General features: G+C 41.1%; 2 long non-coding RNA genes across 3 annotated transcripts in view, besides 1 other annotated feature; one reads left to right on the plus strand and one right to left on the minus strand.

Moving 5' to 3' along the window:
* The window catches only part of LOC107984867 (uncharacterized), a 114,037-nt gene that overhangs the window by 77,246 nt on the left and 13,318 nt on the right, over positions 1 to 23,473 (plus strand). The gene's annotated exons all lie outside the window — the stretch shown is intronic.
* Positions 2,577 to 2,777: a silencer, noted in NCBI's record as "peak2607 fragment used in MPRA reporter construct". NCBI's record gives its function as "represses an SCP1 promoter by STARR-seq MPRAs in K562 erythroleukemia cells {active_cell/tissue: K562}" and the evidence as "EXISTENCE:reporter gene assay evidence [ECO:0000049][PMID:32103011]".
* Positions 20,891 to 23,473, minus strand: part of LOC105371296 (uncharacterized) — a 32,515-nt gene continuing 29,932 nt past the window's right edge. For both annotated transcript variants that reach the window (NR_188481.1, NR_188482.1), the window contains exon 3: positions 20,891 to 21,238. This is a non-coding gene — a long non-coding RNA (uncharacterized LOC105371296). The remainder of the gene's footprint in view (positions 21,239 to 23,473) is intronic.

The following is a 23,473-nucleotide window of genomic DNA, read 5'->3' on the forward strand; positions in this document are numbered from 1 at the left end:
TCATTGCAATGTGCTTGCTTTATTTTTTAAAGATTAGTGTCATATCTTTTACATCTGCAATTAGCTAAAGCTGGCAACTTCAAGAATAAACCTTGCACCTAAACATGTGGCACTTAACCCTGCACTACCCACAGCAGCAGCTAAAATCATATCTTCCCTTAGAGCAGAGCCTTCATTTGGGGGTGTTAGAAACATATGCACACTGAGATCAGGTACAAAATCTACACCTGTTCAAAAAAAGGGCCAATCTCTGAAAACTAGGAATCGACCATCCTAAAAGAAATGTCCCATTTTCTGCTTCTCAAAAGTAGTCTAATATGCAGCTAAAATAAATGGCAGATTAAAATCTACCTGGATGACCTTGCCTTGAGCGTGCCACCTGATCTCTCGGGCCTCAGTTTTCTAGCCTAACCTGTTGGTTTATTGGGTTAGATAATTTTTAATAGTGTTTCCTATAATGCGCTTCCAGAATCAGTTGCTAGACACCATTTTGTGGCTCACCCTTAACCTACCAAATGCAGCTATATTTTTATTCCAAATGTTAAATATTTAATCAACTCTAAGGTGAAACCCAAATGTAATTCATTAAGCAACTTGGTGTTAAGTCAAATGTAACGGACATGAAAAATGCCTTTTCATTAGTGTCCATTGGCTTCATTGGTTCAAGAATTCTGGCTGATGGAATGAATAGCAAAATTACTCTCTGTTCAAACAAACTGAAAGTGTATAAGTAAAAATAAAATAGAATAAGCTAGGAGGCTTTCCAGTTGTTTTTTTACTAATTGTGATGTATTGATTTTCTATGCTGCATTAATGTCTACAGAGTTCACCTTTGGCTGATCCAAAAGATGAATGAATTTAATGAAAAATTTTATTTCGAACTGTGCATAAAAGTAAAGGTTGGAGAAAGCCCACATGCATGTGAGTGTGCACATACTCACACGAAGGTGTACACAGAATGTGGAGAAAAAGACACGTGGTGCAATTTTTGTATAGGGGCAGTGGTAGAGACCACCATCAAAGAATCTTTTGTGTTCTTAGTTCGCTTTTGTCCCTTGACTATAGGTCTTGAAAAATTAATCTTTCAAAAAAAAAAATAACTATTTTTTTTTTTTTTTTTTTTTTTTTTGGAGACAGGCTCTCGCTTTGTTACCCAGGCTGGAGTGCAGTGGCACGTTCACGGCTCTCTGCAACTTCAACTTCCTGGGCTCAAGCGATCCTCCCACCTCAGTGTCCTGAGTAGGTAGGACTACAGGCACGTGCGACCATGCCTGGCTAATTAAAAAAATATTTTACTGTAGAAAAGAGATCTTGCTATGTTGCCCAGGCAGGTCTCAAACTCCTGTGCTCAGTGATTCTCCCACTTCAGCCTCCCAAAGGATTGGGATTACTGGCATGAGTCAGTGTGCAGCCCTAAAGTCTTAACTATGGTTTAAATAATAAGGATTTGGCTTTTCCTATTTTCCTATTAGTCAGACTTACGAAAAAACCCCAACAAGAATTAAACATAATCACACTGAGTTTGTGAAACTAAAATAAGAAAAAAAAAAAAAGGAAAGAAGGAAAAAAGAAAAGGAAGAAAGGAAGGAATCAAGTGTCATCAGAGCATGTTCTATGTCCCAGCAACATCACTGATCCTTTACTCTATAATAGCCAGTCTTTAGCAGTTTAGAGGGCATTGTTGCCTTACATTGACATCCTAAAATTCAGTCACTGTGGGCTTGGTTAAGTTGGAGGAAGATCAGCATTCCGTGGAATGTGGCTGTCTTCTGATGGTGACCGTTGCAGTAGGTTTCCATCCTTAATCTTCAGGGGAAGGCATACTTTTTTTCTCTTTTACTGTCTTACTGCCAGAAGGACATGCCCTCCTCTTTAATTTCCTAGAGCCAGGGGTTGGCAAACCCTAATCTATGCTTCAAATCTGATCCTCTGCCTGTTTTTGTATGGCCTGTGAGCTAAGAATGAATTTTACATTTTTAAATGGTTGAAAAAAAGTCCAAAGAAGAATAATATTTTTATCGCATGTAAAATTATATTAAATTAAAATTTCAGTGTATATAAAGTTTTATTGGAGCACAGCCACATTCATTCATTTACATATTTATGGATGCTTTTCTGCAACAGAGTTAAGTGGTTGTGACAGAGACAGCATGGGCACAAAGCCTAGAATATTTACTATCCAGCCCTTTACAGAAAATGTTTGCTGAATTTTGTCTTAGCTTATCGCAGAGATTTTACTGAAGACTGGTAATAAGGAAAGAGAAGTAAAACATGCCGTAATTTACAGTTCTGGCACAGCCTCAGGTCCTTCACCAGACTGGCTTCTTGTTTCTTTCTGGAACTGTCACTGTGGCCAGGAGTAGCCAATACCAAATGTTGTATTGCCCTGACTCCTTGCCCCAGAAGGACCTCTTCGCAGGACGGCTGAGAATGAAAATGTCGTTTCACTTTAAGAAAACTCTACTCCCATCTGTGGGAGTGTAGTCTGGATCTGAGATCCCTCCAAGACAATTAATTACACAATAAACCTGTACCAGCATAGTAGTTGCTCCTTATTTACAGATTCGCTTTCTGTGGTTTCAGTTACCAGAGGTCAACTGCGTCAGAAAACATTACATAGGATAAGATATTTTGAAACACACACACACACACACACAACATTTACCTAACTTTTTTTTTTTTTTTTGAGACAAGAGTCTTGCTGTGTCACCCAGGCTGAAGTGCAGTGGTGTGACCTCAGCTCACTGCAACCCTCCGCCTCCTGGGTTCAAGCGATTCATGTGCCTCAGCCTCCCACGTAGCTGGGATTACAGGCATGTGCCACCATGTCAGGCTAATTTTTGTATTTTTAGTAGAGATGGGATTTTATTATGTTGCTTAGGCTGGTCTCAAACTCCTGGCCTCAAGTGATCCATCTGCCTCAGCCTCCCAAAGTGCTGGGATTATAGGCATGAGCCACCAAGCCTGGCCTACAAAACATTTAATACCGTATATTGTTATAATTGTTCTATTTTATTATTATTATTGTATAATTTATAATTTTTACCATGGGTATGTGTGTATAGGAAAAAAACATAGTATATACAGTGTATAAGGTTTAGTACTATGTATGGTTTCAGGCATCTACTATGCATGTTAAAATGCATCCCCCATGGATAAAGGGAGTGATATGATCTAGCTCTGTGTCCCCACCTAAATCTCATCTCGAATTGTAATCCCCAAGTGTTGAGGGAAGGGACCTGGTGGGAGGTGATTGGATCATGGGGGCAGATTTCCTACTTGCTGTTCTCATGATAGTGAGTTCCCACGAGATCTGATTGTTTGATGGTTGTCTGGTGCTTCCCCCTTCTCTCTCTCTCTCTCTCTCTCTCTCTCTCTCTCTCTCTCTCTCTCTCTCTCTCTCTCCTGCCACCTTGTGAAGAAGGTACCTGCTTCCTCTTCTACTTCTACCATGATTGTTGTAAGTTTCCTGAGGCCTCCCCAGTCACATAGAACGGTGAGTTAATTACACCTCTTTGCCTTATAAATTACCCAGTCTCAGGTATTTTTTAATAGCAGTGTGAAAACAGATGAATACAGGGGGACTACTGTGTAGTCCCCAAAGTCTGGTTTATTCAATCCTGTGATCTGGGTTAGACTGAGTGAAATTCAGCACCACTTTTTTATTTTTTTGTAGCGTTTTCAAATAAAGGCGTCAACAATCTTGTCTATAGTCACACCCAAGGTTACTTTGAACCAGCATGTTCATCCGTAAAATAGAGATGATAACATTCACCTCATTGAGTTTCTCATCACCACACTGAGGTGTTGAATAAACTTGCCTGAGGTTGCATAGACCACAAATGTCAGAGTTGGGATCTGAATCTAATTTTGTCAACCCCAAACTTCCTTTTTTGGGAGTTTCTTCACGAGTAAATATATGATTTCCACTGAATTTTTGGAAACTTTTCAGAGTTTGTAGAATTCCATATAATGGCATATGGGACCCTTGGAAGGTGCTCACAAGCTCACCTCCTGGAATCAGAGAAACCTGAGTTTGAATCACCATTTTGCCACTTACTAAATGAGGAATATCTCTTCAGAATGTCTCTTGGAATCTCAGAGGACATCGTCCATAAAATGGGAATGATAATGGTACTTACAGGAAACTTGTGAAAGGTAAATGACATACAAATGCAAATAATTTGTTACAGTCTGACACTCAGCAAGTGTTCTGAGTGTTATTGGCTATTATTTCATTCCAATTGGATAAAAATGAAACTCCTATGTAGTAATAGCTTACTCTTCCCACTGTGAAACATCAATTTCTCAAATATTATCTCAGGTTTAACTGTTTTTTTAAAGTTCAGATGTACACTGTTGAATTCCCCTTGAATTTTGCTGCCAGCTTTTGAGAGCCTTCAAATGCATTTGAAGGTTGCTTTGGGGAAGGGGCACTTGGGGAGATACCAATGCGGCAACCACTGGTGGTTTTTGACGAGGTCTTGAGAGTCAATGATGTTCAGGGACAAGGGGGCTTCAAAATGCTCTTCATGATCCATTAGGCATTGGATCATTTACATGGCTCAGAAGTACATGGAGACATTTGTAGGAATCTGTACTATCAGCAGCCTACAATGAGCCCATTCTTGTCACCACAGACTCTTAACATTTCCGTTCTAAGAATTGCAGTGATGGTTGACACTTCATTTCAAAGAACAGACTGAACACACTGTTCTTTATGAAGACGTTAGCAGATGTACTTTTAAAGTTTTAAAATGTTTCCGAGTAGGACAGCTATGTAAAAAAGGCACTGTGTGTCTTAATGTGCTAAGAATATTAAGAAGTGAGATACATTCTGTTAATTTCCTAATGTTAATTTCTTTCCCTCCCTCCTTCCCTCCTTCCCTCCTTCCCTCCTTCCCTCCTTCCCTCCTTCCCTCCTTCCCTCCTTCCCTCCTTCCCTCCTTCCCTCCTTCCTTTTCGAGACGGAGTCTCACTCTGTCACCCAGGCTGGAGTGCAGTGGTGTGAACTCAGCTCAGTGCAACCTCTGCCTCCTGGATTTAAGCGATTCTCATGCCTCAGCCTCCCGAGTAGCTGGGATTACAGGCGTGTGCCACCACACTAGGCTAATTTTTGTATTTTTAGTAGAGACAGGTTTTGCCATGTTGGTCAGGCTGGTCTTGAATTCCTGGCCTCAAGTGATCCACCCGCCTTGGCCTCCCAAAGTGCTGGGAATTACAGGTGTGAGCCACCATGCCTGGTCACATGCTGTTAATTTCTTAAATGTTAATATTTTTACAAAGCTCTGCCCAAATATCTACATCTATATCCACATACATAAGTATTAATTTATCAGTAAGGTCTATTTTTACCATACCACATTGGATCAACAATACATCTAGAAATCATGTATCCTAGTACTGTTTTTCAACCATTTCTCTCCAGTGGAGTTATTTTCGTATAGTTTTCTACTTGAACAATTTCCTATGCTAAACTCTAGATGGGGTTCTTATTCTATCTCAAAATATATGTGAAGGGGAAAACATAAGAGGGGAATGCTGAGAATGGGATGGAAAACTCACTTGTTTTCTTAACTGATAGTTTTAGCCAGTCAGCCAGATTGTTGGTTACTGTTCTTAGAATGGAGTCCGCTCCAAAAGGAAGCTTTTTGTATCTTGTCTGTCAAATTGTTAAGAAGGAAGTCAACACATAGTTCATGAAGACTTCCTTTATTTGATTGTTTTCTCCTTGTAGTGGGGCCAAATTCCATGAATGATAGAGTGTTTGCATTTTATGAGCGATGCTACCATACTGTCTTTCAGATCTCAGTGTTTAATTGGTTCTAGTGCTGTGAGTCATTACTTAGCTTGAATTCTTTAGGTTCTGGCTTGGATAATTACCATTTCTCTTTGTTTGTATTTTGACTGAAGTAAAACATCTCTGAATATAGAACCCTTTAGTCCCACAGGCAAGTGCTAATGTCTCCAGCTTTTTCCCCCACCCCAGATTCACATTGCTTTGATACAAGGGGCTGGGGCTTGGTGTGAGGGTAAATGTGATGCCGGCATTTCAAATTCACCAGGGCCAATGTTAGATGGCCTCTTGCTCAGCCTGATCCACTGGAATCTGTTTTGCTTCTTCCTCAAATTGCCCCCTTTTTTTTTTCCAGTGATATATCCACCCCACCACCTCAATGTCATACTGTTAATAATTCATCTTTGACATCTCTCTTTTCCTTAACTCCTTGCCTGTAATCTAATGACAGGTCCTGTCATTTCTAGTTCTGAAATATTTCTCCATCTCACTATCATCCCCTTGGTTTAAGACACTGTCATTTCCTCTACCTCAATGGCCTGTTTCCCCCAATTATACTATTTTCACTTCTGCATCATTTTCTACACTGCAGCCAGATAGAATGGTGTCATAGGCACTTTTGATTATTTTTGCTGTGAACATTGCTAAAAAGCCTTCAAGAGCTTCTTCACACCATTGAAACAAAAACACCAATCCCCAGCCTGACGCAGAAGGACCCCCATGGTCTGGCCTCCATCTGTTTCTACAGACTCACTTCATGCCCCGTCAACTCATTGTATTCTATCCACAATGGGCTTCTCTCAGTATTTTTTTTGAAACAGGGTCTCTCTCTGTCATCCAGGCTGGAGTGCAGTGGTGCCATTACAGCTTACTGCAGCCTTGACCTCATCCTGGGTTCAAGCGATCCTCTGGCCTCAGCCTCCAGAGCAGCTGGGGCCACAGGCACACACTATCACACCTGGCTGATTTTTTCTTTTTCTTTCTGTAGAACTGGGGTCTTGCTCTGTTGTCCAGGCTTGTTTCGAACTCCTAGACTCAAGTGATCCTCCCACCTCAGCCTCCCAACATGCTGGGATTATAGGTGTGAACCACTGTGCCTGGCCTCAGTCTTTTTAACTTGCCAAGTTCTTCTACTCTTCCCTGCATGCTTTTCTGGAACATGCCAACTCAGATTTTAGGTCTCAGAATCTGAGAGGCCCTCCATTACTTCTCTGCACCTCAGCTACACTCCCAGGTAAAGTAGGGTCCTCTTGTTTACTCTCTCCCAACAGCTGTTATTTTTCTTCACCTGGCCTCTTCTCTATTGTTGTTGTGCAACTGTGAGAGAATTTTTGGGTGTCTTTTTCCTACTAGCTGGGGCTCCATGAGGAAAACACCACAAGTTATCAGAATTATAAAAAAAACTATCCCTTTTTTTCCTCAAAATTTCAATACCCCCTTCCTCTTTTCCTAGCTTATCGCCTCCCTGTTTATTTCACTGAAACAAACAGAAGTAATCAGAAGAAAATTAATCCAGCTTCCCGGTGATAAATCTCCCAAATGCCTACATCTTCTGCCGATCCCTCTTTCATAGAGGAGGAAATGTCCAGCCTTTATCTGTTCCCCTCCTCACACACCTCGGATACTAGACCTCATACCTGTCTGTCATCTGCTTGAGAACTTCAAGCCTGCATTCACTCCTTTCTCTTCTGAATCACCCATTTTCCTCTTCTTGCCAGATTTATCTCATCAGTATAAACACATGACCTCATATATTTCACCTTTTAAAAGTCCTGGCTGGGCACGGTGACTCAGGCTTGTAGTCTCAGCACATTGGGAGGTCAAGGCAGGAGGATTGCTTGAACCCTGGAGTTAGAGGCCGGCCTGGGCAACATGGCAAAACCCCATCTCTACAAAAAATACCAAAATTAGCCAGGCATGGTGACATGCACCTGTAGTCTCAGTTACTCAGGAGGCTGAGGTGGAGGATACATTGAGCCCGGGAGATTGAAGTTGCAGTGAGCTATGATCATGCCACTGCATTCCAGCCTGCATGACAGAGCAAGACCCTGTCTCAAAAAAAAAAAAAAAAAAAAAAAAAAAAAAAAAAAAAGTTCTGCTTCAGATACTATCAACTTGTGTATTTTTCTTTATTGCAAATTTCTGAAAAGTATCTGTATCCTGTATTTATATATTTTCGCTGTACTTCCTTTCCTCCATTTCTGCCCTCCCTACCTCTAGAAACTTCATTTGTCATGCTTGTCTGTGCCTTTCTCTTGCTGCTGTCATTGGCCACTTCTTAAAATTCATCTTGTTTAGCCTTTGAGCAGCTTTTGGAATGGTTGATTATCCCTTCCTGGTTGAAACATTTCTTTCCCCCAACGTAATTTTTTTCCAACATTTGTTTTAGAATCAGAGGGTACATGTGCAGGTTTGCTACAAAGGTAAAATGCATGATGCTGAGGTTTTGGGTGTGAATGAATCTATCACCCAGGTAGTGAGCATAGTACCCAATAGGTAGTTTTTTTTTTTTTTTTTTTTTTTTTTGAGGAGGAGTCTTGCTCTGTTGCCCAGGCTGGAGTGCAGTGGCGTGATCTCGGCTCACTGCAAGCTCCGACTCCTGGGTTAACACCATTCTCCTGGCTTAGCTTGCCGAGTAGCTGGGACTACAGGCGCCCGCCACCATGCCCAGCTAATTTTTTTTTGTATTTGTAGAAGAGACGGGGTTTCACCGTGTTAACCAGGATGGTCTCAATCTCCTGACCTCGTGATCCACCTGCCTCGGCCTCCAAAAGTGTTGAGATTACAGGTGTGAGTCACCGTGCCCGGCCAGGTAGTTTTTCAGCCCTTGCCTTGCTCCCCCTCTCCTCCTTCTAGTAGGCCCCAGTGTCTATTGTTGCCATCTTTGGGTCCCTGAGGACCCATTATTTAGCTCCCACTTATAAGTGAGAACATGTGGTATTTGGTTTTCTCTTTCTGCATTACTTCACTTAGGATAATGCCTCCCAGCTCCGTCCACATTGCTGCAAAAAACACGACTGACTTTATTCCTTTTTATGGCTGTGTAGTATTTCATGTTGTATATGTACCACATTTTCTTTCTCCAGTCCACTGTTGATGGACATCTGGGTTGGTTCCATGTCTTTGCCATTGTGAATAGTGCTGCAATGAACATATGGGTGCATGTGTCTTTTTGATGGAATGATTAGCTGTTTTTTGGGTATATACCCAGTAATGAGATTGCTAGGTCAGGTGGTAGTTCAACTCTTAATTCTTTGGGATTCTGCAAACTGCTCTCCACAGTGGTTAGACTAATTTATATTCCTCCCAACAGTGTATAAATGTTCCCTCTTCTCTACAGCCTCACCAACATCTGTTTTTTTTTTTGACTTTTTAATAAAAGCCATTCTGACTGGTGTGAGATAGTATGGCATTGTGGTTTCGGTTTGCATTTCTCTGATGATTACTGATGATGAGCATTTTTCACCTTCTTTTGAGCAGTGTCTATTCATGTACTTTGCCCACTTTTTGATTGGGTTATTTGTTTTTAAGACACCCCACTCTCCTGTTTTTCCTCCTACACCATAGGCTGCTTCTTCTAAAGTTCACTTTCAGCCTGTCCTCCTCTTCCCTACGTTGATATTGGATCAGACTAGCGCTCAGACCTCATGCATCTTTTCTTTTCTTCTTTAGCCTAGATGATAACATTTGACTTCAAGGCTTTAATTCTTACCTACATCCTGAGGTTTCCCCTTTGTACATACCCTTGGGCTTCCCCTGACTTAGAGGATGTGCATATGAACGAGTAAAAAGAGATAATGTTTCTCTTTTCACAGAAAGACACAGCAAAAAAGCCCAAATAAGAGTACGCGAAGGAATCTCACCTTTAGTTATGATCATCTGTGCCACTCTCATGTATTTCCTTCTTTGTGGTTAGAAAGATGTCTGTTTTAAGGACTCGAAGTCCGCAGACTGTTTCGGTTGATATGCAGACTGTATTTTACATCTAAATGTCCCTCCTAAAAGGTCTTCCTATGAGCTACATTGGAATGCCACTACTGGTGCCAAGACTTCAAACAATTTTATGCAGGTTTGAATTAAGAGTAGGAAATGAAAGCTGCTCATAGCAAATTGGCTTCTCTGCCTTCCCAGGAGTCATTTTCTACTTTCAAGCAGTTAGGAAAATCATAAGTATTACTTTTTTGGTTATTAAATATATGAATGACACTAGAATTTCAGGTTGTGTTTTAGGGAGATTTGTGATTTAAAGCCTCAGATACTATGATATGCATGGTTGTTTAAAATGAATAAAATATCTGAAGAATTATTTATTTTCTGGGAAAATAGGTCAATTAGTATATGTGAAAACACAGTATGGCCAGGTTTTTGTGGCTCATGTACAAGATTGATTGAGGTGCCTCTTCTCCTTTTATTATGTGGTAAATTTTTACAGGTTGTTTAGATTCGTCCTTTTCAGACTTCTGTGGTGATGTCTGTAGTGGTTTAAAATATTGGTGATTCATAGGGGTACTAAATTTCAGGTGTTAAACAGGACACATTGTCAGGAAGTGTCTGTTTTAACTGACAATAATGAAGGGAAATGTTTTTAATATTAAAGTAGGCATGATTATATTATTAAGCTAACCTTTACTGATATACAATACTTAAATGGCATTCATTAAGCGATTACTTAAGACTTCCTGATTCTCCCTCAGCCCTGGGGCTATGTGCTTACTCTTCCCTGGAGTTAGAACTACATTGATGAGAGATTTGGGCAGCACATATACTTTGGTGGAGGGGGGCACATAAGCAATATCATGTTTATTTCTTTTCTTTTCTTTCTTTTTTTTTTTTTTTGAGACAGACTCTTGCTCTGTCGCCCCGGCTGGAGTGCAGTGGTGCAATCTCAGCTCACTGCAATCTCCAGCTCTCAGGTTCAAGCAATTCTCCTGCCTTGGCCTCCTGAGTAGCTGGGACTACAGGCATGCGCCACTACACCTGGCTAATTTTTGTATTTTTAGCAGAGATGGGGTTTCACCATGTTGGCCAGGCTGGTCTCGAACTCCTGACCTCAGGTGACCCACCCACCTCGGCCTCCCAAAGTGCTGACATTACAGGCGTGAGCCGCCGCACCCGGCCTCATGTTTATTTTTAACAGAGTCCAAGCTCGGCCTCATGTTTATTTCTAACAGCGTCTAAGCTCCCCCAATTGTGGGACTATACCTTCCTTTATTTCATAGCCCAGCAAGCAGCACAGTGCTTGGCACTGAGATAGAACTCTAATAAAACTTATTGACTGGAACTAAACCAGATAGAATATAGAAATTTCAAAAATAATCTGTAAGGCAATAACAGAATCTCTACAAACATAGAAAGGTTGTATTGTTCTCTGGCAAAAGGACTTCCTGGTTCTTACATGGGGCAGTGGTTGGTTGGACCTAAGAGTCGGAGTTTGGGAATCACTGGCATGGACAGGGGATGGCAAGGAATTCGTGGGGCTACTGTCCGAGCATCATTAGAAGATTGCTAGAAACTTAGGGCACAATGATTTGATTTGCATTCACAGACCCAAATATGATGGGCTAATGGCTATATGGAGACCTGCATTTACAACCAGATAGACAAATCTTGATATAGTCACACTGTACAGCAATGAGAGTGAACAAACTATAGTCAGAACAGTATAGATGAATCTCATGAATTTAGGGATCACTCTGTGTGATTGTGTTTCTATAAAGTTCTGAAAAAGAAGAGAAGCAAAATGAATGCATGGTGTTAGAAGTCACTCTGATTGGTATACCAGTTACCCTTGCCTGGGTAATTTGTTCAAGGCATAAGGGGACTTTGGGGACTGTGGCAATACCGTGTTCTTTGATTGGGTGCTGTCTATGCAGAAATGTTTACTTTGTGACAAGTTTATCAATTTGTACAATTAGAATTTGTGCACTTTTCTGTGTGTATGTTATACGTCAATAAAAAGTTAAAACAACTAACTTAAATAAAATGTGAGCATGAGCAAGAGAACACCTAAGATTGCTAGAATCTGCCCAGAAGTACCGAGATACCATCATAGGGAAAACTGACTTGAGAAGGACAAGGATCTGAGAATAAATGGGCCGCGTTGTTTCAGTTCACTTACACCTGAAACTCCTGAGTTTTATCCTTTTTCATCAAGCTCTAAGGATTCTGTATATCAGGCCAATAATAGGGGTTAGGCTATTAGAGGCACACATTCATGAGGAGGCTTTAAAAGTAATTTGGCTGCATAAATGTCTTCTTTTGAGAAGTGTCTGTTCATGTCCTTCGCCCACTTTTTGATGGGGTTGTTTGTTTTTTTCTTGTAAATTTGTTTGAGTTCATTGTAGATTCTGGATATTAGCCCTTTGTCAGATGAGTAGGTTGCGAAAATTTTCTCCCATGTTGTAGGTTGCCTGTTCACTCTGATGGTAGTTTCTTTTGCTGTGCAGAAGCTCTTTAGTTTAATTAGATCCCATTTGTCAATTTTGGCTTTTGTCATGCTGCTATAAAGACACATGCACACGTATGTTTATTGCGGCACTATTCACAATAGCAAAGACTTGGAACCAACCCAAACGTCCAACAATGATAGACTGGATTAAGAAAATGTGGCACATATACACCATGGAATACTATGCAGCCATAAAAAATGATGAGTTCATGTCCTTTGTAGGGACATGGATGAAATTGGAAACCATCATTCTCAGTAAACTATCGCAAGAACAAAAAACCAAACACCGCATATTCTCACTCATAGGTGGGAATTGAACAATGAGATCACATGGACACAGGAAGGGGAATATCACACTCTGGGGACTGTGGTGGGGTCGGGGGAGGGGGGAGGGATAGCATTGGGAGATATACCTAATGCTAGATGACACGTTAGTGGGTGCAGCGCACCAGCATGGCACATGTATACATATGTAACTAACCTGCACAATGTGCACATGTACCCTAAAACTTAGAGTATAATAAAAAAAAAAAAATTAAAAAAAAAAAAAAAAAGTAATTTGGAATTTCCAATCTGAGAAAGCAGCAGTGCAGACTTTTAGCTTTTTCTCCTTTTTTTCCCCCCAGCATATTCAGCAGGAAGGGCCACAGGTCTGGAGGTGGCTTTGGGACTCCTTCCTTTGCTCTAAGTTTTCAGGAGTATCAGGAATTGCTGCTAACTGTTGTTGAGAAATCATTTTAAGGATCATACAAAATCCTGGTAATAATTGAAAGGAATTCAAAGCTATTTATACTGGGGCCTTATCCCAGGTTCTGCCCAAGTTGCTCTAGGTGGAAGATGAATGTGGATCCCTTTATTCCTTTTACTTTTAGCCAAATGAGTTAGAATCAAAACCTTTTCTTATATGTTAGGTGGCATTCAAGGAGGTGTACTCTTTCCCATCCTGAACATGGGGTCAAAATAATGTAGAATTTGTGATATTGGTGTGGGGCCAGTTAGAAAAATTATGTTATTAGACAAAAACTATCCTACCTCATGTCGTAATTCTGTTTATGTTAAAAATAAAGAGGCTGGGCACAGTGGCTTAGGCCTGTAATCCCAGCACTTTTGGAGGCTGATGTGGGTGGATCACTTGAGGCCAGGAGTTTGAGACAAGCCTGGCCAACATAGCAAAACCTCATCACTACTAAAAACACAAACAATTAGCTGAGCATGGTGGTGCATGCTTGTAATCCCAGCTACTCAGGAGGCTGAGGCATGAGAATCGCTTGAATCCGGGAGGCAGAGCTTGTAGTGAGCCGAGATTGCACCACTGCACTCCAGCCTGGGCGACAGAGGGAGACTCTGTCTCAAAACAAACAGAAACAAACAAAGCAAACAAACTACCCTTCCTATTCTGTGTGTGTTGGTATGCTTGCATGCAAGCTCACTGTGTGTTATGTGACCTGTCATGGAGATGCCTAAAGAAGTTGTGTTTAAGGGATAATGAATTTCATCTCATAATTTTTTTTTATTATACTTTAAGTTTTGGGGTACATGTGTACAACGTGCAGGTTTGTTACATATGTATACATGTGCCATGTTGGTGTGCTGCACCCACTAACTTGTCATTTAATATTAGGTATATCTCCTAATGCTGTCCCTCCACCCTACCCCCACCCCACAACAGTCCCCAGAGTGTGATGTTCCCCTTCCTGTGTCTATGTGTTCTCATTGTTCAATTCCCACCTGTGAATGAGAACATGCGGTCTTTGGTTTTTTGTCCTTGTGATAGTTTGCTCAGAATGATGGTTTCCAGCTTCATCCATGTCCCTCCAAAGGACATGAACTCAAATCATTTTTTACGGCTGCATAGTATTCCATGGTGTATATGTGCCACATTTTCTTAATCCAGTCTATCATTGTTGGACATTTTGGTTGGTTCCAAGTCTTTGCTATTGTGAATAGTGCCACAATAAACATATTTGTGCATGTGTCTTTATAGCAGCATGATTTATAATCCTTTGGGTATATACCTAGTAATGGGATGGCTGGGTCAAATGGTATTTCTAGTTCTAGATCCCTGAGGAATCGCCACATTGACTTCCACAATGGTTGAACTAGTTTCCAGTCCCACCAACAGTGTAAAAGTGTTCCTATTTCTCCACATCCTCTCCAGCACCTGTTGTTTCCTGACTTTTTAATGATTGCCATTCTAACTGGTGTGAGATGGTATGTCATTGTGGTTTTGATTTGCATTTCTCTGATGGCCAGTGATGATGAGCATTTTTTCATGTGTCTTTTGGCTGCATAAATGTCTTCTTTTCAGAAACGTCTGTTCATATTTTTCGCCCACTTTTTGATGGGGTTGTTTGTTTTTTTCTTGTAAATTTGTTTGAGTTCATTGTAGATGCTGGATATTAGCCCTTTGTCAGATGAGTAGATTGCAAAAATTTTCTCCCATTCTGTAGGTTTCCTGTTCACTCTGATGGTAGTTTCTTTTGCTGTGCAGAAGCTCTTTAGTTTAATTAGATCCCACTTGTCAATTTTGGCTTTTGTTGCCATTGCTTTTGGTGTTTTAAGACATGAAGTCCTTGCCCATGCCTATGTCCTGAATGGTAATGGCTAGGTTTTCTTCTAGGGTTTTTATGGTTTTAGGTCTAACATTTAAGTCTTTAATCCATCTTGAATTAATTTTTGTATAAGGTGTAAGGAAGGGATCCAGTTTCAGCTTTCTACATATGGCTAGCCAGTTTTCCCAGCACCATTTATTAAATAGGGAATCCTTTCCCCATTGCTTGTTTTTGTCAGGTTTGTCAAAGATCAGATGGTTGCAGATGTGTGATATTATTTCTGAGGGTTCTGTTCTGTTCCATTGGTCTATATCTCTGTTTTGGTACCAATTAAAACATTTTTTGACCATTTAAAACATTTTTAATTTTTAATTTTTTAGAGATGGGGTCTTGCTATATTGCCCAGGCTGGTCCCGAATTCCTGGGCTCAAGTCATCCTCCCGCCTCAACCTCCCAAAGTGCTGGGATTATAGGCATGAGCTGCAGAGCCCGGCCAGTCTTAACCACTTTTAAGTGTATAGTTCAGTAGTGTTACATATATTCACATTGTTGTGCAACTGGTCTCCAGAACCTTCATCTTACAAAACTGCAACTGTATACCCATTAAACAACTTTCCACTTTCCACTCCTGGAAACCACCACTCTAGTTTCTGTTTCTATGAGTTTGACAACTCTAGGCATCTCATATTAGTGGAACCATACAATAAAGCTTTGTTTTAACTTTTCACCCTGAGCCTGGCTTAGACCAAGACTATGGCTAAAATAATTTTACTGCATATAGCTTAGAGCTGAATGAGCCATCCTGTAAGTTATAGCAGAAGACACAAGAGGTCAAGACTGTAGGTGAAAACTAAATGTGATGATCAGGTGGCCCATAGTAACCATGCCTTAGATGTGCTATTAACATCTTCTTGAATCTTTGACCTACGTTTGCAATAGGAAAAGGAGGTCTAGGATAAGCAGAAACTTCAGCTAGAAAGCTTGATGGCCTCACCCAACATCCATGCCCCTACCCCAAATGGAAGAGTTGGGCAGAAGCACTGGTCCCAGAGTGTGCAGAGTTAAGTACTTATTGAGTGCCTAGGGTACACTGGGTTCTTTTTCATATAAGCCATCTGCTTTTAATCCTCATGTTAATATTATAAAGTTGGTTATAATTGTACCTGTTTTATAGACAGGAAACTGGAACTAAGACAGTGACAGTCTTCTTCAGAATGCCAAAGTTAATCAATGACAGAGATGGTATTTGACCTTGATTTCATTCTACCCTTCTTTACTTTCTGTTATGCAGTGGTAGTGGGGGTAATATATTCATGATCCTTGTATCAGGGATGATCAAACTGAGTTAAGTTAGGCTAAGCAATTTTTAAAAAATTACACATTTAGCAGGTGATAGAAATAGGAGTTGAAATCAGGACATTATTAAAAATAAGCTGCAAGCCCTTCCAAGATTTGGGACTATCTTTACACAAAGGTTTGTGGAATTCTAGAAGTTAAAAAAGACATTAGTATGTGAGAAGTCTGCATGTGCAGGAATGATACTGGTGTGGTGACATACAGCAGTGCCTTCTTCAGAGGAAATGAAGGTCATGGGGATCATTTCATGGAAGCCCTTGAATAATCCACCTAAGAATGGGTTCTTAATTTGGTAGGTAATCAGAGGGTTTTGAAGAATCTTGATTGAAGGTGATCAGAGCTTGTGCTTTTAGAAAAATCAATGCATACATTAGAAGGTGAAGCAACTGAATGTAAGCATTCTCTCTGAACATTAAAATTGGAATGACTTTATTGCTTCTCTGTATTCCCTTGACCTTTTCCCAATATCATCTGGGAAACCTTGTGTTATTTAACATTTAATACAAGACTGTTTTTCCCAAAGGCATTTGAGTAGTAAGGCTGAGATCTCAAACTTTTGTATATATACAAAAGAAGACATTTTAATACTAAGTCGGTAAGTCAGAACAGAGAGTTTCAGTGATGAAGACTGAAATGTGAAATTCTACATGTTGTTTCTTAGTTGACTTTTAAATGGATGAAATGATAACTATGTTGCAATGAAGCTTATACAACACACACACACATACACACACACACACACACACACACACACACTTAGGATTCAGAATCATGGGCTATTTTCTTTTACTTTCTTAATATTCTTCTCAGTAACACTAGAGGTCACTCAGACCCTGTCTTTAATTCAGTTTTGCCACGATTCATCTTTATTTAAGCTACATCTGAATTCCTGTTGTGGACTTGTATTTCTCTTTATGAATTATACAGCTCGCCTCTCTTAACCTGCTAATGTTAGTTTGTAACATTCCCTATTACACTGATAGTTTAATTGACTAATTAACTTGTGCTAGTTTGCCAGATACTGGCACAAATGAGATTTTTCTTCATCTCTTCAATGGTGGATGTCAGCAACAGAGAGGCAGGTTGATTGGATGCAGAATGATTCTAATTTCAGAAAAATCAATGCGATAACCTTTGTGTTCAGACTGCATTTCTTCAAACATTTTATGTTCAGTTATATAAAATCAGCTTTAATTTTTGTTTTCAGTCTATTTTTAACTTTTTTGGTTAGTCGTCTGTAGACATACACTCAAAACATTAGTTTATTCTGTGTACTAATTATGTCATCTATATAGTTAACAATCTTTTATTAAATACATACTATATTCAAGAAACTGAGCCAGGCACTGAGAACACAGGGGTGAGTGACGGTAAAAATGACCCAATAGACTTTTGTTCACATTCCCCTAAACTCTAAAATGTTGCAAAGTTGAGAATTGACTTACTTGAGTTCTTGAAGTATAAATTTAGTAAACTCTAGGGAAAAGAGGTGACCATCTTCTTCCATTTCTTATAATTTTCTTTCTCTCTCCTTACTCCTTCCAGCAGGTACACTGGTGGGCACCTGTTCTTGGGTCTTCACATAGCTCGCACCTAAAAGACATCTGTAACTGATTTTTCCAGCCACCTGAACCTGTTGTGACTGCTAGGGTATTGGCCATCAAAGGACTCCCTCAAGCAGAACGTTTTCATACCATTTTCACAAAGTCCTTGATTGATAGAGTTTTATTATGAACATAAGGCTGTTTTCTCAATTGACCAAAAAAAGAGGCAATCTTTGCTTTTCCTTTAGTTTCCTTCGTGAAAATTCCTTGGGAATGTGAAAATCACAACATGGTCGAGAGCAGCAATTCTCAAATTTTAGTGTAATTCAGAATCAGGTGGAGGGCTTTTAAAGGCCCACATTTCTGGGCTGTATCCTCAGAGTTTCTCGCTCAGTAGTTCTGGAACGAAGTCTGAGAATGTGTATTTCTAATAATCTCCTGGGTAGTGCTGAAACTGTTAGTCCTGGGACCCTTGTTTATGAACCACTGGTCTGGAGGATAGAGCACCACACTTGGAGTTGGGAGACAGCTTCTAGGTTTAGTTTTGCCACAAACTAGGTAAAAATGAACAAGTGATCTATCCTTATGTGACATTAATATTTTATTCAAGTTTGCTTATAACTCCATTATGGTCATTTCAAAAAATTGCAACCTAACATTTATGAGAATTGTGTTTTTTTTTCTCATTTCTCCTCCTTATTTTACCCATTTCTTCTGGCTCTAATCTAATTTACTTGGAGTTCCCTGAAGATGCTATACTTTTCCTTGCTATTGTTTATGCTGTGCCCTAGAACCCTCTCTTCCCTTTGATTAACTTATGAACTCCTATTCATCCTTCATGTACCACTTTAACAGTCATAACTGAGAAGCTTTACTTAACTTGTCTCTACCTCCAACTCCTCTTTTTTTTTTTTTTTTTTTTTTTATTGATCATTCTTGGGTGTTTCTCGCAGAGGGGGATTTGGCAGGGTCATAGGACAATAGTGGAGGGAAGGTCAGCAGATAAACAAGTGAACAAAGGTCTCTGGTTTTCCTAGGCAGAGTGTTTGTGTCCCTGGGTACTTGAGATTAGGGAGTGGTGATGACTCTTAACGAGCATGCTGCTTTCAAGCATCTGTTTAACAAAGCACATCTTGCACCGCCCTTAATCCATTTAACCCTGAGTGGACACAGCACATGTTTCAGAGAGCACAGGGTTGGAGGTAAGGTCACAGATCAACAGGATCCCAAGGCAGAAGAATTTTTCTTAGTACAGAACAAAATGAAAAGTCTCCCACGTCTACTTCTTTCTACACAGACACAGCAACCATCCGATTTCTCAATCTTTTCCCCACCTTTCCCCCTTTTCTATTCCACAAAACCGCCACTGTCATCATGGCCCGTTTTCAATGAGCTGTTGGGTACACCTCCCAGACGGGGTGGTGGCCGGGCAGAGGGGCTCCTCACTTCCCAGTAGGGGCGGCCAGGCAGAGGCGCCCCTCACCTCCCGGACGGGGCGGCTGGCCGGGCGGGGGGCTGACCCCCCCACCTCCCTCCCGGACGGGGCAGCTGGCCGGGTGGGGGGCTGACCCCCCCACCTCCCTCCCGGACGGGCGGCTGGCCGGGCGGGAGGCTGACCCCCCACCTCCTTCCCGGACGGGGTGGCTGCCGGGCGGAGACGCTCCTCACTTCCCAGATGGGGTGGCAGCCGGGCGGAGGGGCTCCTCACTTCTCAGACGGGGCGGCTGCCGGGCGGAGGGTCTCCTCACTTCTCAGACGGGGCGGCCGGGCAGAGACTCTCCTCACCTCCCAGACGGGGTTGCGGCCGGGCCGAGGCGCTCCTCACATCCCAGATGGGGCGGCGGGGCTGAGGCGCTCCCCACATCTCAGACGATGGGCAGCCGGGCAGAGACGCTCCTCACTTCCTAGATGGGATGGCGACCAGGAAGAGGCGCTCCTCACTTCCTAGGTGGGATGGTGGCCGGGCAGAGAGGCTCCTCACTTTCCAGACTGGGCAGCCAGGCAGAGACGCTCCTCACTTCCCAGACGGGGTGGCGGCCGGGCAGAGGCTGCAATTTCGGGGCTTTGGGGGGCCAAGGCAGGCGGCTGGGAGGTGGAGGTTGTAGCGAGCCGAGATCACGCCACTGCACTCCAGCCTGGGCACCATTGAGCACTGAGTTAATGAGACTCTGTCTGCAATCCCGGCACCTTGGGAGGCCGAGGCTGGCGGATCACTCGCGGTTAGGAGCTGGAGACCAGCCCGGCCAACACAGCGAAACCCCGTCTCCACCAAAAAAAATACGAAAATCAGTCAGGTGTGGCGGCGCACGCCTGCAATCGCAGGCACTCGGCAGGCTGAGGCAGGAGAATCAGGCAGGGAGGTTGCAGTGAGCCGAGATGGCAGCAGCACAGTCCAGCTTCGGCTCCGCATGAGAGGGAGACCGTGGAGGGAGAGGCAGAGGGAGAGGAGGGAGAGGGGGAGGGGGAGAGGGAGAGGAGGGAGAGTCCAGCTCCTCTTAATAAAGCTCATTATTCCTTTTAAAGTCTTCTCATGTTACCTTGAACATAATATCTATCGTATTAATATAGGGCTCTTATTTGTTTATTGGACAACTGCTTCCCTTAGAGGATATAGAGTTTAATCATCTTTTTGACTCTAGTACCTAGTGCTTTCTAGTACAAAGCTGGCATTCAGTAAGTGTTTAGTGCCTGATCAAATCTATGTATGTTTCTGCTTTCCTTTCTATATTGTGAATTCCTACATGTACATCTTCATCATTTTTGCTTTTTTGAGAAATTCATCTCTTCCTACATTATAGCTCAATTTTAATGAAGGTTAAATTGAATACAAAATGAAAGAGTTAGAATGAGAAGACTTCATATGTCTTTTAAAGTGTCTCCAGAGTCTAAGTGCAATACTGACTTTGTATTTTTGTATTGTGCAGTTATTGTAATTGAACCTGATTTTAATAATAATATGTGACATTTAGAAGTTCTTTTTTTTTTGCCATGGACTGCACTGAACACATTTTTGTAATTTTTGCAATTTTTACAACCTAAAATGGGAGTTGCCTAGTTACTTGCGTTTTATAGAACAAAATACTGAGGTTGGACAAGGCAAAGTCACATGTTTAGTAAGGAATCTTGGATTCATATTTATTAGACTATTATATTAAAAATAATTTTGAGAGGAGAAAAACATTTAACCAATGAATTTGAATTGCCAAGCACATGTCAACATTTAATGTAATATTCACAAAGACAATGAAAGCAGGATACAGTAAATATTTTTGTCCCAGAAGTAAGATGGAAACAAGTTGTCTAGGGGTGTCCTAAGATAGAGTGACTTTGTAAAGCTTTGATAATGTGTCGCAACTTTGTGGCAGGGAAAGCAAACATACGTATTTTATGTCATTGGTTCTGGGGCAGAGCTCATGCTAAGCAGAAAAGCTGACATAATTCCTGTTCTGTTGTTCGGCTGCCAAAGTCTTAGGCTAAAAAGAGGTGGTTACTGTTGAATGAATTAAGTCTTCCATGCTCCTAGGATTCTGGTTCTTCCAGGCTGAAAGTTAAGAAAAAGAGTGGGTTTTACCCATTGGCTGATGAAAATACTTGCTTACTTTGTCTCAGTGTTGGTTACAGCTCTGTGTGCAAACAGAACATCCAAACAGCAAGGAACTTTGTTCCAGCCTCATTATATAAGGTTGCTTACACAGTCAGTTTGATTTGGTCACCAAATTCTAATCAATAAAATTTAGGCTGCAGTTGTTATTAGTGACACTATTGTCATTAGCAACATAAGGACTCTTTTTAACCTAGAAATGTATAATTACGATGTTCTAGTCTGGATTTAACCACATGTCCTCCTACCACTTAAAGTTGACACTGAGATGAGGACTTGATGCAGGATGCTATGGGTGGAATGTGTGTTTAACCCCAGCATTGATATGTTGAAACTCTAATCCTCAATGTGATGGCATTCCAAGGTGGGGCTTTTATGAGGTAATTAGGGTTAGATTAGGTCATGAGGGTGGGGTCCACTTGATGAGATTAATGAGCTTATAAAGAGAGAGAGACATGATATCTCTCTCTCCTTCTGGCAAATGAGGATATAACAAGAAGGCAGCCATCTGTAAACCAGGAAGAGGGCCTCCAAGAAAGACCTAACCATGCTGGCACCCTCATCTTGAACTTCTATCCTCTAGAACTTGTGGGAATTAAATGTTTGCTGCCTAAGTCACCAGTCTGTGGTATTCTGTTAGAACACCCCAAACTGACTAAGATTCAGGGAGTTTGTTTTGGAGGCAATCACAGAAAGTGGAAGTGCAAGAATAAGGAAAGAGAGACAGACAAGAAAGGGAAAAAAACAACAACAACTGTAAAGTACGTGTTAACGAGCTGGTTACTGCTTAGAATTGTCCTACGGGAGGACAAGGAAGCTGGGACATTTATCCATAGATTTTATCCCCCATTGGATGAGGATTACCTTGAGGGGCATAGACTCCCTCACATTTCTGGGTTGCACCTACATGTGGCTAAGCTACTTTTCCCAGCTTTTGAGAAAGCGATACAGTAGGACACCATGGACATTGGCAAAGAGGCACAGAGCTGCCCACCACATCAGTACTGAAATTAGGTGTGCAGAGGGGATATGTATGGCACAATTCATCACAAATATCTGCTACAGATAACAAAAAGGCTTTCCTAGAAATAATGGCTGAAATGATGAAATAAATTGTTCGTGCCCTACTAATCCTTTTATATATTTCTGTATTTTTTTTGTGTGTTTTGGGAGATTACAACCACTTCAAGTCAAATTTAGTTTATGGTTGGCAGTAGTGCCAACCTCTCATCATTGAAAACTTTGCAAAATGCCAGTTTCTGGACAGTTTTGAAAAGACTGACAAAACTAAAACTTTAGTTTTCAAGATCATTAATGAATTACCTTTTACTAGACAGTTAGGTCAGTGAATGGGAATAGGTGATTATAAGGCTAGAAAATGACTTACATTTAATAAAATAGCATTCAGAATTTTTGATTTAAAAATCATTTTATTTCTAATTTGTCATTGCAGAGTATTTTTTTTTTTTTTTTGAGATGGAGTTTCGCTCTTGTTGCCCAGGCTGGAGTGCAGTGGTGCGATCTCGGCCTACTGCAGCCTCCCCCTCCCAGGTTCAAGCAATTCTCCTGCCTCAGCCTCTCGAGTAGCTGGGATTAGAGGTTGCCACCACCATGCGTGGCTAATCTTTGCAGAAAATTTGAAAAGCATAAATTAAAATATAAAGCAGGAAACTGTATCAATAACTTCCTACCCAGAAATAATCATGGTTACTGTACTGATATAATCCTTCCCAGTCAAAAAATTTTATTATAGATGTGAGTAGGTGATTTTTTTAATAATAAATGCCAGTTCCCTATTGAGTGGCAGGTAAGGAAACTAATATTTATTGAATGCTTTTTATTTGCTAGGCATCAAATTGAATGTTCTATACACCTTCCCTAATCCATCAGCCTCTGTACTGTTTGTTTTTAGGAAGCTACATTTTCAGCCCCAGAGGCCAGTCTACGTGCATTGGGTACTGCCTAGTGCCTGTCTCCAGTCATTGAAAGAGTGCTTTGTCTTCTACAGGCCCCAAGTAAGCAAGTCAGAAAGGTTAAGGGCAGCCTGGAAAATGCTGAGAAGTTTTTTATCTAATGGAAATGAAAATGGAATAGAGAGAGGGAGGAGGAAAGCAGGAAATGCATTAGAGTAAAGCAATGAAAGAGAAATTCTCTTACATTTGTTTTCCTTGCAGC

Source organism: Homo sapiens, chromosome 16 (assembly GCF_000001405.40).
Source record: "Homo sapiens chromosome 16, GRCh38.p14 Primary Assembly".
Classification (NCBI taxonomy): domain Eukaryota; kingdom Metazoa; phylum Chordata; class Mammalia; order Primates; family Hominidae; genus Homo; species Homo sapiens.